We start from the raw sequence: 17,390 nt of genomic DNA, 5'->3' as shown, positions 1-17,390 counted from the left end.
TGGGGTGGCCCCTAAATATAGCCCGAGAAATCTGAGCTACACTTCTGCCCCACCCTGGTATTTTGGTCCAGGGCAGAGGAGGGAGGGGTCTGGAGGTGTGGTGTTGAGGGTGGCAGTGGGGATGGTGAGTATCAAGAGAAGGGCTGTCCTGATTCCTCTTCCAAAGCTTCCACCGATCAGCCTGGAAACGGAGCTGGGGGCAGGAAAGGCCCTCTGTGTGTTCTAGAGTAGTCTTCAACCCCTGGGTCCCTCTGTTCCCTGCATCTTCCTGTGCTGAGAGAGGAAGCCTGGTGTTTGAGGCGATGTGGGGATGTAGAGACAACTTCCCAGTCTCATTTCCTCATCCTGCCAGGCCACCATGGCGGAGCTGCAGGAGGTGCAGATCACAGAGGAGAAGCCACTGTTGCCAGGACAGACGCCTGAGGCGGCCAAGGTTATTAGAGACCGTTTGACTCCCATGCCCAAATTCCAGACCTCTAAGCATCCCCCTTGCCTTCTAACTTCCCAAGCGTACTGATCTTATTCTAACTCACACCACTGCTTCACCACTACCCTAGTCTCTCTCCCCATACACTATAATTGGGAGTCAGGCCCTTGTCTCGTCACTACACTAACCTTCATCCTTTCCGTGTCTCTCTTTGTCAATCTCTTTCTGTCTTTGGTCATTTGTTGGTCTGTCTTTACTTGCCTCTCTTTGTCTGTTTGTCTCTCCATCTGGGACGCCACATGGTCATGTGTTTCTGTGTGAATCCGTGTGTGTCTCTCCAGGAGGCTGAGTTAGCTGCCCGAATCCTCCTGGACCAGGGACAGGTAACAGTGTGGGGGCAGTCCCAAGGTGGGAGGAGGGGCTGTCCTCTTCCCCAGTAGAAGGATGGCCTCTGCTTGGCCCTCTCTTCTCTCTTTGCTTTCTTTCCTTCTATTCTAGTCCTTTCCCTTCCCTATCTCTCCCCTCTCCTTCCTTCCCCTCCTCTTCTCTCTCTAATCTTCATTATTCTTTCTTATCCTCAAACTCATCTTCCGGTATCATGTTTTCCTCAATTCTTGCTGATCCTGTTTTTAATTCTTTGTTCCCTTTTCCCTCTTGCCCACCCACTCCCAGCTCCCTGACCTTGGTGTTGCTCCTTTTCTGGCCTCGTCTCCTCTGAGCCTAGCTCTTGGTGCCCTGTTTTCCTGCAGACTCACTCTGTGGAGACACCATACGGCTCTGTCACTTTCACTGTCTATGGCACCCCCAAACCCAAACGCCCAGCGATCCTTACCTACCACGATGTGGGACTCAACTGTAAGGACCTTCATTCATCTCCCACTCCTGTCTGGGAAGAGGCTGTGGGGGAAGGGTAGAAATGAAACCCAGAGGGAGGGGAGGGGTCAGTGTGGGAAGGAGAAGTTCTCTCCTGGTCTGACTGTGGCATGAAAGGAAGGGTGAGTTCTGACTGGGGGACACGAGTCCCTGTCTGATTCTATTGTTGAGGTGATGTGGGTTCTCTTTAGATAAATCTTGCTTCCAGCCACTGTTTCAGTTCGAGGACATGCAGGAAATCATTCAGAACTTTGTGCGGGTTCATGTGGATGCCCCTGGAATGGAAGAGGGAGCCCCTGTGTTCCCTTTGGGGTAAGAGTTAGGTCGTTACTGCTTCACCAGACTGTGAGGAACAGGACAGGTGCGGGAAAGGTTCGACTGGGGAGGAGGAAAGGGAGGGCAGTGGTTATTCTGGGAGAGAATGAGTAGGACATCCTGAGGTGGGGGGTGTGAGGGCAGGTTGGTATCTTCCTTAACATGCCTCTCTTTTCCAGATATCAGTACCCATCTCTGGACCAGCTTGCAGACATGATCCCTTGCGTCCTGCAGTACCTAAAGTGAGAGGCCTGGGAACCCCTCCAAACCAGAGTTCTCTTTCCAGCACAAGGAGACCCTTAGAACTTCCAGGTTCACCGTGGTTCCTGAGCCAGTTTCAGCTTCTGAACTCAATATATCTTCTTCCTTCATGCTCCCGCCTTGATTATTGAGAAAAGGTGGTGGGTTTGGAAAATTGGCCAGAGTCAACAGAATAGCCCTAATGGGTGGAGGGAAGGAAAAGGGTCTATGCTTGGCCCTGCCTCAGGCTAAGGAGGGCCTTCTCTGATCAGAAAGTCAGGGAGGAATGAAAGGGGGTGACATAATCCCTGAGGAACCAGATAGACCTGTCTCTTTCTCTCCCACTCCCCTCTCCTTCATGCCCACACCTGGTGGATGGGGAGCTCTGCGGGTGAGAGAGAGTTGGGGAAGGAAGAGAACACCAGACCAAGTGTCTTTGGTATTCAGAGGGAGGTGCTGGCCCCTGGGTGCTGTTCTTAGCTAAGCTTCTCCTAGGCACCAGGGCTCAGCAGCTCTGGTTCACCACTTTGCCACTCTTTTCCTCATTCTCTCCATTGTTCACTAAAATTGTGTCTGTTTTCACATTTGCTTTAAGTTCCATTCTTCCCGTTCCTCTAGAGGAACCAGGAACTAAAGCAGAACAAGTTGAACTGGCTCTTGAAAATTGAGAATGGACAAAGAGCTATCTATATGGGAAAACAGTGTGTTGGTTGGCTGGTGGATGGGTGTTTGTTTTTAAGACACTAGCTCTCCAGCAGAAAGCTGGGGATAGACTTCAGGTATCTACCCTGACTACCCGTGCCAACCTTTGGCTTCTTGGGCCCTTCTTTTTCGCGTCCTCCAAAGAAAGGTCCGTGTCTGCCTTTCTTTGTGCCCGTGGACTCAGGAGGGAGGGTGAAGAGTTTGAAGAGATGGGCTGTGGCAGGTTTTGGACAGCAGATCCCATGAGGCGTATATTTCTTTCCCTTTCACAGTTTCTCTACAATAATTGGAGTTGGTGTTGGAGCTGGAGCCTACATCCTGGCGAGATATGCTGTAAGAAATAAAAAGCCCAGAGGAGGGAAAGGAGGGTCCAGACTGATTAGGAGAATACTGTTTATTAGTGCTGTTTGGGGGAGGAAGTGGGCACTAGGTGGGGAGTCAGGCCCTGTGGGAGTCCAGGAGTGGGTCGAGCTTAGCGGGGAGGGGATAAGGCCATGCCCTGTTTCTCATTTCCTTCCTTCTGCTGTCCCTCAGCTTAACCACCCGGACACTGTTGAAGGTCTTGTCCTCATCAACATTGATCCCAATGCCAAGGGTTGGATGGATTGGGCAGCCCACAAGGTTTGGAGGGGCCTGTGTGCTGAGACCTACGGTTGGGGATCCCCTCGTATGGATCCAGTTAGGCTCTGGTAGATAGCCTAACTGGATGGACTCTGAACTTCAAGGAGGGAGTAAAGGGGCAGGAAAGTGAAGCTGTCACTTTGCCTGAGTCTCTTATAATATCCTGAACTTTCTTTTTCTTTTTCTTTTTTTTTTTTTTTTTGAGATGGTGTCTCACTCTGTTGCCAAGGCTGGAGTGCAGTGGCTTGATCTTGGCTCACTGCAACCTCTGCTTCCTGGGTTCAAGTGATTCTCCTGCCTCAGCCTCCCAAGTAGCTGGGATTACAGGCACCCGCCACCACGCCTGGCTAATATTTGTATTATTAGTAGAGATGGGGTTTCACCATCTTGGCCAGGGTGGTCTTGAACTCCTGACCTCGTGATCCACCCGCCTCGGCCTCCCAAAGTGCTGGGATTACAGACGTGAGCCACTGTGCCTGGCCAATACCCTGAACTTTCTCACCTGCCTTCTCCTCATAGCTAACAGGCCTCACCTCTTCCATTCCGGAGATGATCCTTGGACATCTTTTCAGCCAGGTAAGTGGGTGTAGGAGATGTAGAAGAGTCGACGGGAGCAGCAGGGAACTTGAATGCTTGGGCTAACTTCCTTAGCTGGGACAGGATTTGGGGAAGGAAGAAGGCTTACCTCTTTTCCTCCAGTAATTGTTGTTTTCTCTTTCCATCCCTAATTTTTCTCCTTGTTCTCTCCTTCAGGAAGAGCTCTCTGGAAATTCTGAGTTGATACAAAAGTACAGAAATATCATTACACATGCACCCAACCTGGATAACATTGAATTGTACTGGAACAGCTACAACAAGTGGGTGGGCTGTGTGTGTATGCATGTGAGAGAAATGCAGAAGCAGTAATTGGGCGTCATGGGGGAGGCACAGAGGAGGAGAGGGAAGTCTGGGTAGTGTGCAATGTGCAAGGAATGCAGCATTTAGTGTGCAATGGGGGCAGCTTCAGGACAGAGTCAGTGGGAAGGATTGCAAGGGGCTGTCCCCCTTCTCTTGTTTACCTCCTTTGGATTATTGGACTCCCAGAAGTAAGATGATCTTGTGTCCTGTGTCCTTCCTCCCCTTTTGTTGCCCTCTGACCAGGGATCTAGGGCACAAGTGACTATAGGGGCTGTGCTTGGGGCCTGCCTGCCCCTTTCTCCTTTGGTTTCCACCTTTAATAACCAAGATTTGACCGTAATTTTTAGACAAAGATAGTTCCATCATGGGAGAGATAGCTTATATCTGGTTAGATAGCATTGCCCACCTAAAATTCCTACTCTTTTAACCCCTTTCTAGCCGCCGAGACCTGAACTTTGAGCGTGGAGGTGATATCACCCTCAGGTAAGACTTTAAGAGATAATGCATTGCCTGTCTCCCTGGATCTTCCCTAGGAGCTTGTGTCCCTTAGAAGAAGGAGAATCTTTTGCCAGGGAACTTCCTTGTCATGTCCCACCCCATCCTATTTGGTAAATCACTTCCCTCTAGGTCTTCCCCCTTTGAATCCTCTTGGTGGCATCAGCAGGGAGACACAGAAGTGTCTTTCCTCTTTGGAGCCAGATATTTTTCCAGCTGCACTCCTAGGCAGAGGCCAGTGAGGGAGTGCCAGGGGCTCACTGCCTTCTCCCCAACACTGTGTCTTTAGGTGTCCTGTGATGCTGGTGGTAGGAGACCAAGCACCTCATGAAGATGCAGTGGTTAGTAGGGAATTTTGGGGTGAGTGAGGGAGGAGGGTTGGGGTCCTAAAGTGGTGGTCAGAAGAGTATCTTGCCAAGGGGATGTCCTGTTTGGCACAGGGAGATCAACTTTGGGGCACTAAGAATTTGATTCCTGGTAAGGAGGAACTGGGTAGGGAGCTGATAGAAAAGGGACTGGGGTCTGGGTTCCTGGGTCCCTTACGGGGGAGGCGCCACAGTGGGCGTGACCTCATTCATTCAGCCTCCTGCTTACTCCAGGTGGAATGTAACTCAAAACTGGACCCCACCCAGACCTCGTTCCTCAAGGTCAGTAACCTGTTCCTGGGCCCCCGTCCACAGTCATATATCCTCTCTACATGCAGCTGCTAAGCCTCCAGGGCCCGGCATGGGAGCAAATGGGGTGAACGAAGAACAAAACAAAGGGGCTAGAGTGAAGAAGCTAGGGAAGAGAGACCCTTTCCACCTCTCTGCATGGCTCATTTATGTGTGTTTCACTTTTTCTGGGTGGTGCTCTCCTGAACAGATGGCTGACTCCGGAGGTCAGCCCCAGCTGACTCAGGTGAGTGCCGCTGCCGTCCATGGGATGGGGAAGGGACATAGGATACCGGTGGCACTGGGCTCTGCCCTTTGCCACACACCCGGCCCCACAGTGCCGCAGCCTCAGGCTCCAGCTCTTCCTCTAACCTCATCTCACCGTCTCCCTCGCCTCTTCTTACTTCCGCAGCCAGGCAAGCTGACCGAGGCCTTCAAGTACTTCCTGCAAGGCATGGGCTACAGTGAGTATCGGGACAAGAGCTTGCTGCACTAGAGGAGAGATAGGCACTGACGGGGTGGAACCGTTTTAGGTGAATGCCTGGACTCACCGCTATCTGCCCAATCGAGCTCGTTGATCCCCTGGCTTAGTTATAACTAGTCCATAATCCAAGGACCACACCCTGAGTCGCCAGCCCCCCTTCCCCACTTCCTCTCTGACTGCTTGTGCATCGTGCTGTCTCCACAGTGGCCTCATCCTGCATGACTCGCCTGTCCCGGTCTCGTACAGCCTCTCTGACCAGTGCAGCATCCGTTGATGGCAACCGGTCCCGCTCTCGCACCCTGTCCCAGAGCAGCGAGTCTGGAACTCTTTCTTCGGGGCCCCCGGGGCACACCATGGAGGTCTCCTGTTGAATGGCCCTTGTTGCCCTAGAGTGGGACCCAGCCCTCACCTCCCCCAGAGCTAACCTGGGAGGTGCTGAAGGGGCATTGGGCCACCGTAAGCAAGGGAAAAAGGGCAGATCATGCGGGGAGATGACCTTGATCTTTGATTGCTACCCTAACCTTGACCTTTAACCCGTGATTCCCCCCAGCTCCTGGAAGAGATGTCCTAATATCTCTTAGGGACCCAGACCCCTAAATTCTCCTCCTCCCCCATTTTGATGTTAAGGTGGAGAGGGCATATGCATCCTCTGTCCTGATCTAGGTGTCTATAGCTGAGGGGTAAGAGGTTGTTGTAGTTGTCCTGGTGCCTCCATCAGACTCTCCCTACTTGTCCCATATTTGCAAGGGGAGGGGATTTGGGGCTGGGGCTCCATTCACCAAAGCTGAGGTGGCTTCTCATTAACCCTTTAGGACTCTGAAGGGTATGGACCTACGTGAATGTGTGTCAGGGGGAGACTTGCTGGTGGGTTAGTGGTCCTCAGGATGTGATAGAAACATCCAGTGTAAAAAGGAAGTTGGAATGGGAGTTGGCGGGCAGTGAACGAGTGTGGGGAAGGATTGGTGCTGGGGCAACAGGAAGGGGCCTGGGGCCGTTTGGCTGCACTAACTTTGGTAGCTCAGTGTGCATCTAGAGTGGGACTGGGGAGGGAGCTAAGCTTGGGCTGGGCTGCTTGGGGCTTGGCATAGGGTGGAAAGGGCTACCCTGGGGCTCTGACCACACTGTAGTATGTGTGGAGGGTGCCCTCCCGTCTCCCACAACTTCTGCTATAACAATAAACTGTAGAGGAATCTGAGTACCGTTATTATTCTTTGTCTAGGTGTGCCTGCATCATGCTCCTCTTCCTATCTTCTCCCTGTCCACGTCTCATATTCTCTTCTCAAAGTGATATAAACCCTGGGAGAGGGCCTTTGTGGCATAGGCACTTCACAAAATATGACCACATAGAAACTGGCTCTTTTCCAATACAACGGTGTTGCCTTGATATTGTAGTATTTTTAAGCCTGGGAGAGAGGAACCATTTAGATCTTAGGAGACTTCCTTATCAACTATGGGTAACTGAGAAAGGCCACAGGATTTCAGAGATACCACCAACATCACCACCTTTAAGAAAGAATTGAAGAGGCTGGGCAAGGTGGCTCGCATCTGTGATCCCAACACACTTGAGAAGCTGAGGTGGGCAGACCACTTGAGCTCAGAAGTTTGTGACCAGCCTGGGGAACATGGTGAAACCCCGTCTCTGCAAAAAATACAAAAATTAGCTGGGCTTGATGGTGCACACCTGTAGTCCCAGCTACTAGGGAGGCTGAGGTGGGAGGATCACTTGAGCCCAGGAGGTGGAGGTTGCAGTGAGCCACGGTCACACCACTGCACTCCAGCCTGGGCGACAGAGTGAGACTCCATCTCAAAAAAAAAAAAAAAAAAAATTGAAGAAGACTGATGACAGAAGTGCCCAAGGATATCTTGAGACCCACCTTCCTGTAGGATCCTCCCTAGGGGGTCACCTAGATTCCATTTTGGATGTTTTAGTGCAATCAGTAGACCAGGGTGCATGAACTTAACTGTAAGGGGTGGGCTGCTCATAGTTCATTCTGATCTGAAGACTCTTTCAGGAGGGGTGCAGCAAAAAGGAGGATTTATCTTGAGAATTCCTCTTCCCTCATGGAATCCAAGGGATCTGGGAGCTAATTAAGTCTATGTTTGTGGTTTATTAGGAAGCTTTTTCACAACTATGAACAATGAAGAGGAATTCTTATTTTGCAGCTGTTGCAGGCTGATTCTTAGGGTCTTGAGGCACAAGAAGTAAAAATGAGGAGGCACCTTGTAGCATTATTGACAACACTACTGTGATGGACTATTACAAGGTCTTTTGCTAGATTGCTTTACAGAAACTCCACAGGCAATTATACCCTTTCCTCAATGAAACTGAGCTGAGGACTAATGCACTTGATGTCTGGTGCTGACACACTGATTGACATGGAAATAGGATATGGAATATGCCCTTGATTCTTGAGCATTTCATCACTGTCCTTCATAGAACTGGGTCTATTTTAAATGTGGTAGGCCAGGGTCAGAAGGGGAAGCGGAGGTATTGGGTAACAAACAGGGTTATGGAGCTCGCTATTGGATGCTGAGGGTGTTGGGTGACCACACGCAGGGCAGGCAGCAGAGTGCGAAGCACCACACTGAAGAAAAGAAGCGGCATAATTGGAATCAGTGGGGACCAACTAGCTTCTCGGAAAAACACAAGGAAAAGGCAAAAACCTATAACCAGCATCAATCTTTACTGGCAATAGCTGCTGTTGTGTATTATGGATGGGAAGGCAAGTCTTTTCTGCATATCTGCCTACATAGATAACACTGTCAGCAGGGCAATCTCTACAAATGGGAGCACATTACATGTATGTGTAGATAGGTGAGTGTGTGCATACACATCTATCATGTAGGTGGGTGTGTCAAATGGGTGATGACTGTGTGTCTTTCCCATAGATGTCTCTGCATAAGAAATCTGAGTTTGGTAGAGAGAAAGATGCCCTCTGCTGGGAGCTAGTCGTGGGGTGGGGGTTTTGTCCTTGACTGACCTCTCTACTCTGTTGGAGAGCGACGAAAAGCTCAAGAATCAAGAGCATATTCCATGTCCCATTTCCATGTCAATCAGCTAAACATTCCAGTTTAGCCCATGGGGTCACAGTGCCCCCTTGTGGTTGACATGGTTCTTAATAACTTTCCCCAGTTCCCAGGTCCCTTGGTGTTTCCTCGGTCTTACAGCTCCATTGTGCTTTGTGGTTCTGTGTAGTAGCTCTATAGGAAGGAGGTCCTAATATCATGGTTGGCCATTGATCTTGACCATTTTCAAAATTTTCAAGATCAGAGCTGGTCTCCTCTCAGAGGAGAGGAGAGGTGATTTTACAGAAGCAGAACCACAGACTCCCTACTTTTTGTCTCTGCTTCAGGTTTAGGACCCCTGTTTCTCTCTTCCCCTTATTGTCAAGGAACGTGAGTACTTCCCAGACTTTAGGGACAAAATCCCAAGACAGCTAAGAGAAGATTCAATGGGAAAGAGAGTAAAACCGGAACAGAGTGAAAAGAGCCTTATGGTTTCAGCTTGAAAATTCTGGATTTCACGAAGAGATTTTAAAGGGTGAGTCTCTGATGGTACACTGAACCTGCAGTAGGAGGGATGGATGTTAGCCATAAGAGAGTATATGAATGGTAAGGGAAAATACTGGAGTGGGAGACACCACCTTCCTTCCTCTTTTTCCTTCTCTTTCTTCTTTCTTTCCTTCTTTCTTTCTTTCTTTCTTTCTTTCTTTCTTTCTTTCTTTCTTTCTTTCTTCTTTCTTTTTTTCTTCTTTCTTTTCTTTTTCTTTCTTTCTCTTTCTTCTTTCCTTCTTTTTCTTCTTTCTTTCCTTCTCTCTTTCTTTCTCTGTCTTCCTTCCTTCCTTTCTTTCTCTCTTTATCTCTTTCTTTTCTTTTTCTTCTTTCTTCTCTTTGTTTTTTTTCAGATAGGGTCTCACTCTGTCACCCAGGCTGGAGTGCAGTGGTGCAATCTCTGCTCAGTGCAACATCTGCCTCCTGGGCTCAAGCAATTCTCCAATCTCAGCCTCCTGAGTAGCTGGGACCACAGGTGTGCGCCACCATGCCCAGCTAGCTTTTTGTGTATATATAAATATATATATTTTTGTGTGTGTATATATAGATGTGTATTTATGTATATATATGTGTATATATGTATATATAGTGTAAATATATGTGTCTATATATGTGTGTGTGTGTGTGTATTTATTTATTTTTTTGGTAGAGACAGGTTTTCCCCATGTTGTCCAAGCTAGTCTCAAACTCCTGAGTTCAAGTGATCCGCCCGCCTCAGCCTCTCAAAGTGCTGGGATTACAGGCATGAGCCACTGTGCCTGGCTGGGAGACACCACCTTTCTAGAGCAATTTTAGGACTAACTAGAAAGTGAGAGTCAGTTCTGACTAGAGGCCAGGGTATGGTGAGGGCAAATAGTGCCCAGAGCAATGTCATTTGTTTGTACCCTCTCTCCTCACTAACATCAGAATTTCCCACTAATTGGATAAATACATAGTAAAAGTTGAATGTCCTGTGTACTTGACATTCAACAACTGTGAAGACAGTAACAAAGAACACAATTTAAAATTTTTAAAAATCAACAACCAGCATTTTATAAGCATTCCCACACTGGTGCCTGGGGTTTCAGGTGTCATTCCTCTCTGCACCTCTTTGGCTTCCCCCTTGCTAGTGGCAATGGGCTCCCCGCTCAGGTCAGTCAGGGGGAACGTGAGGGTGTCTGGCTGGTTGTCACACTCACACATACAAACCCACTCACACTCTGGCAGCTGTTCCTTGTACCTTATCAGACCAGAGGCAGGAGCAAGGGACTGTTTCTTGCAGTGAGGGTGGCAAGACATTCTAAAATTGTCCTTCAGGGTGAGGTGAAGTGGCACAAACTCTTGTAAGAGTTTGTCTGGAGCTCTTTGGTTTTTGTTCCTGGATGTGTCTTGTCCTTGTGTGTTGATCTCTGACTGACCTCCCACACTACTCCCAAAACTCTGGTTTCTCTCTGATGCTATTCCCCATCTCTCTTTCTTTACACATTGTCATCCTACAACTGCAATATTCAAATCAAACCCTCAGCTTGAAAGCAAAGGAAAGATGAGTTCCAAAGGGTTACTTTAGAGAAAAATGTACTGGTGGCAGAAATGGAATGCTGGCTCTAGGAGGGCAGTTGGAGGTATCGTTGTTCTATATTCTTCCTCTTTAAGTATATACAAAGTACATGTGTGGAGTGGAGAATGAGGGGTAGGGACAGAGGACAGGGATTGGGGAGACTTGAGAATGCTCTACATAAATCCTCTCCTGACTATTCCAATTGGTTTTCCCTCATCCCTTTTCCCATCCTGCACGTCCTTCCTCTGATTTTTTTTTTTTGGAGACAGAGCCTCACTCTGTTGCCCAGACTGGAGTGCAGTGGTGCAATCTCAGCTCATTGCAACCTCCGTCTCCCAGGCTCAAACAATCCTCTCACCTCAGCCTCCCAAGTAGCTGGGACTACAGGTGTGCACCACCATACCCAGCTAGTTTTTTGTATTTTTTGTGTGTATATATATATTTTTTATTTTTTTTTGTAGAGATGGGGTTTTGCCACATTGCCTGGGCTGGTGTTGAACTCCTGAGCTCAAGCGACACGCCTGCCTTGGCCTCCCAAAGTGCTGGGATTACAGGCGTGTGCCACTGTGCCTCGCCTTTTCCTTCTTTTTTTATTTTTTCAGCTCTCACCATTCTAGTTACCATTTGTTATAAGCTATCTCTTAGGGCTGAGTGAATCAAGGCTTACTCCTGAATCAGGTTTGCAGTCACCATGCCCTGGGCATCTCGGCTCTCCTTCCTGTCCTAGGGTTCTTATGCCTGTTCTTATTCCAGCCTTTCTTGTTTTAATCTCATTCAGAAATCACATTCATCTTCTGCTTCCGTATAACCCTCTCTGGCTCCTTGCTGGGAATTCATATCTTCTGAAAACAATCAAAAGGTTATTTCAGTTTCCTAGTCCTGATGTTCTCCCTGATATTCTCTACATGAGCCATTCTCTAGTTTTATTCTAGCTCTTGAAACAATATGGTTCAAACTAAAGATGGTTCTGTTCCTGGTTGGTAAGAATTTTGGAAAAAGGAAAGGAAATAGCCATGGAAAGGAAAGAAAGCATTGATGGCTGAGGACAGAGGAGACTAAAGCAGGAATCCAAGGGCTCCTGGGATAGAAGGAGGCAGAAAGTTCAGGACTCATCCACCTATGCCTGACATATCCCAAGCTCTACCTCATTTACCTCAAATGCCGGTAGAGACCCAGAACATGGTGAGGAGCTCCAACAGTCTAATGTACTTCTCCTTAAGTCTCCTTTCTGCAGCCATACAAATCCTCTGTACTAGAAATAGCTCTCTAGCTTTCACATACATTTGTACCTTTCAATTCACCCCTCCCAAAGTCCTAGCAAGATCACTCAAGTTGAAAGTAGCAGAGAATGGATGGTATGTGGAACACCTGCTTGCCCCTTTACATCTGGGTATTATGCTCTGTGCCCCATGAGGCTTACCTGGCTGCAATGCACCAACAGAGATTTTTGTCCTCTGGCTTCTGTTTGGGTTTGGCAGGAGATCAAAGAGTAGGAGAGTAAATTTTTTCCCCTGGTTCCTCCTTGTTGGGTCCCTGCAAGTTGGCTGCATCCCTCCACCAAAGGCCACAGCTCGTGTTGGATGGCCCTGTCTAGTTTCTGACAACTGCTCCCTTCTCTTCAGCCTAGGTAATAGCATTGTTTTTATTCAGTCCCAGGGTGTTGCCCCATGATTTGTTGCTTTGTTCAAACCCACACCTTCCTAAATACTCCCTTTATTAATATCACCTCAATCATCTAATGTACTATCTGCTTTCTTCTGGGATCCTAACATATAGGCTGGGGAGATGGGAGGATGTGGTAAGGAAAAGGTAATGAGGGAGAAGAGAATCTATACATTGAAGTTTTCTTAGAATCACGGAAACATGGGCTTGAAACCCAGCTAGCTCTGTGATCAAATTATTTAACTTTTCTGAATGCCAGTTTCCCTGGACTTACTGTGGAGATAATGTCTACCTGTTGAGGTTATGAAATATTGAGTTTATCAGGTACCTTCAGGCATTTGTTCATCCATTTACATTCCAAGCCCCCAGGGATTGTGGATTGTCTAAGGAAATTATTGCTTTCTAGGAGTTTCAAGTAGTCTTTGACTAGAACTAGAAGCAACAAATGGGAGTGTGTAGCTGTGTGGTATTTAGCATTCTATACACAGGGGGTCATCCCCTCCTTTCGTTATTTTATTTTTATTCTATTTTTCTGAGACAGAGTCTCACTCGGTCTGTTGCCCAGTATGGAGTGCAGTGGCGTGATCTCGGCTCACTGTGACCTCCACCTCCCGGGTTCAAGCGATTCTCCTGCCTCAGCCTCCCGAGTAGCTGGGACTACAGGCACACGCCACCATGCCTGGCTACTTTTTGTATTTTTAGTGGAGACAGGGTTTCACCATGTTGGCCAGGCTGGGGCTGAACTCCTGACCTCAAGTGATCCGCTCGACTCAGCCTCCCAAAGTGCTGGGATTACAGGCGTGAGCCACCATGCCCAGCCTCCTCCTTTCTTTAAATAAGCACCTGGTTTGGTGTCATTCTTAATGATAATGTATGTGAAAGCAACACTATAGTGTTCCTGGACCAAACTGAGGGTTGGCCTGCTATTTCTTGTGGCCCAATAACGAGATGCCGATGAACTGGGCAGAAAGAGAGTTTTTATTTCTGTCATCGGTTACAGGGAGAAGGCCTGGAAATTATCACCAGACCAACTCAAAATTACAAAGTTTTTCAGAGCTTATATACCTTCTAAGCTATATGTCTACGTGTAAGCATGCATTCGTCTAAAGACATAAGTGATTAACTTCTTTTAATCTATAACTAAGGTCTGAGTCCGGAAAACCTACCTCTGGAGCTTCAGTAAGTTTACTTAATCTAAATGGGTCTAGATGCTGGGATGATTACCCTTATCTTGTCTCCTGCTAAATCACAGAGGTTTGGGGAGTTCCTTCAGACCTCCAATAAACTTGTTTGTGGAGGCCTGGGAAATTTCTTCAGCCATCCAATAAAACCTGTTTAATCCTAAATGGGTCCTGTTAAGAATTCCTTCGTTATTTTGTCATGCTTTAAGGCCCAAGAAAGGCCTAAGCAAAACTCTTGATGGGCTTTTGTTACATTACAGCCTTTGTATAAGGGCACTGGCTTTTAATATTTAACTTAACTACCCAGTCAGTACTGAAACAGTTGTGATGGAGGCCTGCATTAGTGAAGCCTGGCCTGCTACAATCCCCACTGTCAATTTGTGCATGATTTCTATCATGCTTGTATATTTATTTATCATGAGAATCGTAGGGAGATGGGGCATTGTAATCTTTCTGGCTACTTCCTGCTGAGAGAGGGTCATCGTTATGGGGCACTGAACGCAGCACTGGGGTGGAAGAGGTCGATTTGTTCCCAGTAGCGCTCTCTGTTTGGGGGGATTAGAGGCAGTGCCCGATGAAACATAATAGTATGCAACAGCAATACATATAAATAGGTTGCTGCTGTTTTCTTCTGAAATGTAAGTTGTCTAGTCTTCCGTTCACAGGGCTTTAAGAAAGCACAGCTTAGGTTTCAATGATTTTCAGTTAGGAAAAATGGGGACAAAGGAAAAGCAAAAGGAAAAAATTGAAAACATTATCTGCAGACTTGTAGTCAGAAAAATTAGAATTTAATCCAAACTGTAGAAAATAATAAAAACTGAAAAACACCAGGCAACACTAGAATTTAACAACAGGTGTACTATAGTTTTGAAACAATTTTTCTTTCTCCAGTTTCCCATTTTTATTAAAAGACAAATCATGATAGGACTGGTTAGCTTTATTATACTTGGCCAGATTATTTGCATAAAGTGCAGCAAGAATAATTATTTTTCACATAGGCCTTTTGAACTGGCTTTCATGGAACTTTGTTCCATAGAAGGAATCTGACATAAGACCTTTTTAAAGCCAAACCCAGCCATGGATTTGTACCATCAAATACCTATGAGTTGGGTGAATTCCTCTCCTCTTGAGGTTCCAAGATACCTTAGGGTTCCTGCCCTGTCAGAAAGTGACATTTTTTACTTACTACAGGTCAGAAACCCTGTACAGGGACTGTGTACACAAAATATGAGGGCAGTTTCCCAAGGGCTTTATTGGGTTCATAAGTCAGGTTTGATTCCTTAAAGGAAAGCGCATCATTCCAGTCAAAGCCTTGGTAAAAATAACGTTTTTCCAATTGTGGCCTGTTACAAAAGAAAACAGATTCTTACTACACTTATGCGAATAACTCTATTGCCATAACTTAAGAATACTCACAGACAGTTTCCAAATTCTGGAGAAAATCAAGTAGAGAGAAAAAAGTATGCTCTAAATTTTGTTCATGGGAGTATACTAAATTGTTAAAAGCTGTCAATAGCTCAAAAGAAAAGTTTCTTCGACTTTGAAAAGCAAAACAAAAGATTAGCAATATTCTAAGCAAAATGTCAACAAAATCACTCCAGTCTCCTCTTAGTTCAGTTCATGCAGTTAATTCCTATCCTGCTTGATATTAATGAAAATTTTAGCTCTTCAAGAGTCCTGAACGTTTTCCTCTATTCTGATGTCACAATCTCAAAAGTTATCAGAAATCTGCAATCAAGAGCACCTAGTACAGCTTTTTTTTTTTTTTTTTTTTTTTTTTTTTTCTGAGATGGAGTCTTACTCTGTCACCCAGGCTGGAGTGCAGTGGTGTGATCTCAGCTCACTGCAACCTCTGCCTCCTGAGTTTGAGCTATTCTCCTGCCTCAGCCTCCTGAGTAGCTGGGACTACAGGCATGTACCACCATGCCTGGCTAATTTTTGTTATTTTTAGTAGAGACGGAGTTTCAACATGTTGGCCAGGCTGGTCTTGAACTCTGACCTCAGGTGATCCACGCTCCTTGGCCTCCCAAAGTGCTGCGATTACAGGCGTGAGCTACCGCGCTCAGCCTTGTTAGAGCTTTATAGCTGATTATAAAACCACCTTCAAAAGAGGATGAAAACAAGACAACAATTGCTTACAGATAACAAAAATGTTTAGGGTAGCCATAGTTAAAGACACAATTGACGGCCAGCCGCGGTGGCTCACGCCTGTAATCCCAGCACTTTGGGAGGCTGAGGTGGGTGGATCATGAGGTCAGGAGTTCGAGACCAGCCTGGCCAACATGGTGAAACCCTGTCTCTACTAAAAATACAAAAATTAGCTGGGCGTGGTGGCATGTGCCTGTAGTCCCAGCTACTGAGGAGGCTGAAGCAGGAGAATTGCTTCAACCTGGGCGGCAGAAGTTTCAGTGAGCCGAGATCTCACCACTGCACTACAGCCTGGGTGACAGAGTGAGACTCTGCCTCAAAAAAAAAAAAAAAGAAAAAAAAAAAGAGACACAACTGACAAGAAAATCTGTTACCTCTGTGGCACACAATAATTTAACATAACAATTATAATTATTACTGATAACATACACTAAGATATATCAGAATTATAGGAGTCTCCCATAACTTTGGAACACATACCAATAACATATTTACACAAATATAACCCAAAGAAAGCCAAACACCATTTCATATTTGACAATGCTTCCTGTATAATTTTCATACCAAATAAGCCAAACTTCACCTTTACATTAGTGTACTATGGATGTTAAACCCAATTCTTAATAAATCCTTATAGACATGTTTACCCAATTTTAATGTTTCACCACAAGGTAAGATTTTTATAGACTTTTTATAACCCTTTACAATTTTTGTTAAAGAGCAAGTTAGTGCTCTAAGAGAATCCCATTGTGCTTTTATTTCAATGCTCGATTTACAGAAAAAACTGGATGATTCCCTTTTAACTTTAGCCAATATTTTACACACAGAATTTCCTCTACAATTAACCTTCCACAACTTGCTTAAACCTTTATCTTTATTGTATCCAATTTAAAACAATCCTTTAACCTTTTAATCTAGGCAGAAATCCACAATCTCATGCATCCTTATAATCTTTTACCAAAAGTATATTTTACTTTCCTTACACACCTGGCATGTAAACTGTTTCTTCAGTAGTCTTAAAATACATGTTACACCGTTAACTCTTAGCAACCTTTACTTTTGGTGAAAACCTTGGTAAGTCTGGGATTTTAACTGTGTACTAGGTGTGGAGCCTAGGACCTAGACAGAAGTGCAGATAAGGTCTGACTTATTCCAGCATCTAACTCCATGTGTCCCAGGCCTTACCTAGGTGTAAAGCAGGCAAGTTGTACAGCTAAGAGCCATAGTAGCATTTTATAAAGCATTTAGGAGGCCTAATCACCTTTAAATTGTACAACATTTCTTGCATAAATTCCCTTTCATAAATCTTTCACAGGCCAGGTGCAGTGGCTCATGCCTATAATCCCAGCACTTTGGGAGGCTGAGGTGGCCAGATCACCTGAGGTCAGGAGTTCAATACCAGCTTGGCCAACATGGTAAAACCTCATCTCTATAAAAATACAAACATTATCTGGGTATGATGGCAGGTGCCTGTAATCCCAGCTACTCGGGAGGCTGGGGCAGGAGAATCACTTGAACCCGGGAGGCAGAGGTTGCAGTGAGCTGATATAGTGCCATTGCACTCCAGCCTGAGTGACAGAGCAAGACTCCATCTCAAAAACAA

General features: G+C 46.3%; 1 protein-coding gene and 1 non-coding gene across 28 annotated transcripts in view, besides 1 other annotated feature; both read left to right on the top strand.

Annotated features, from left to right (window-relative positions):
• The window catches only part of NDRG2 (NDRG family member 2), a 54,110-nt gene extending 47,199 nt beyond the window's left edge, over positions 1 to 6,911 (top strand). For 9 of the 27 annotated variants that reach the window (NM_001282211.2, NM_201536.2, NM_016250.3 and 6 more), the window contains 14 exons: positions 353 to 433; positions 1,177 to 1,282; positions 1,492 to 1,612; positions 1,795 to 1,857; positions 2,830 to 2,890; positions 3,092 to 3,178; positions 3,698 to 3,754; positions 3,932 to 4,035; positions 4,514 to 4,558; positions 4,860 to 4,911; positions 5,170 to 5,217; positions 5,435 to 5,470; positions 5,636 to 5,687; positions 5,912 to 6,902. In NM_001282211.2, the coding sequence (NP_001269140.1) occupies positions 353 to 433; positions 1,177 to 1,282; positions 1,492 to 1,612; positions 1,795 to 1,857; positions 2,830 to 2,890; positions 3,092 to 3,178; positions 3,698 to 3,754; positions 3,932 to 4,035; positions 4,514 to 4,558; positions 4,860 to 4,911; positions 5,170 to 5,217; positions 5,435 to 5,470; positions 5,636 to 5,687; positions 5,912 to 6,078 (1,080 nt within the window). In that variant the 3' untranslated portion in view covers positions 6,079 to 6,902. Of the gene's footprint in view, positions 1 to 166; positions 434 to 768; positions 811 to 1,176; positions 1,283 to 1,491; positions 1,613 to 1,794; positions 1,858 to 2,829; positions 2,891 to 3,091; positions 3,179 to 3,697; positions 3,755 to 3,931; positions 4,036 to 4,513; positions 4,559 to 4,859; positions 4,912 to 5,010; positions 5,048 to 5,152; positions 5,218 to 5,434; positions 5,471 to 5,635; positions 5,688 to 5,911 lie in introns of all 27 variants that reach the window. The other 18 variants (NM_201537.2, NM_201535.2, NM_001354559.2 and 15 more) reach the window with 11 other exon arrangements.
• Positions 288 to 360, top strand: MIR6717 (microRNA 6717). Its single transcript, NR_106774.1, has one exon. It is a non-coding gene; the product is annotated as a microRNA 6717 (primary transcript).
• Positions 2,960 to 4,159: an enhancer, noted in NCBI's record as "BRD4-independent group 4 enhancer chr14:21487674-21488873 (GRCh37/hg19 assembly coordinates)". NCBI's record gives its function as "activates an origin of replication core promoter dependent on BRD2, P300/CBP, MED14 and CDK7 cofactors, and independent of BRD4, by STARR-seq in HCT116 cells {active_cell/tissue: HCT116}" and the evidence as "EXISTENCE:reporter gene assay evidence [ECO:0000049][PMID:35650434]".
• Positions 6,912 to 17,390: the final 10,479 nt, after the last annotated feature.

Source organism: Homo sapiens, chromosome 14 (genome assembly GCF_000001405.40).
Source record: "Homo sapiens chromosome 14, GRCh38.p14 Primary Assembly".
NCBI classification, from domain to species: Eukaryota; Metazoa; Chordata; class Mammalia; order Primates; family Hominidae; genus Homo; species Homo sapiens.
The sequence above is the reverse complement of the archived record's forward strand: the minus strand, read 5'-3'. Positions and strand labels throughout refer to the sequence as shown.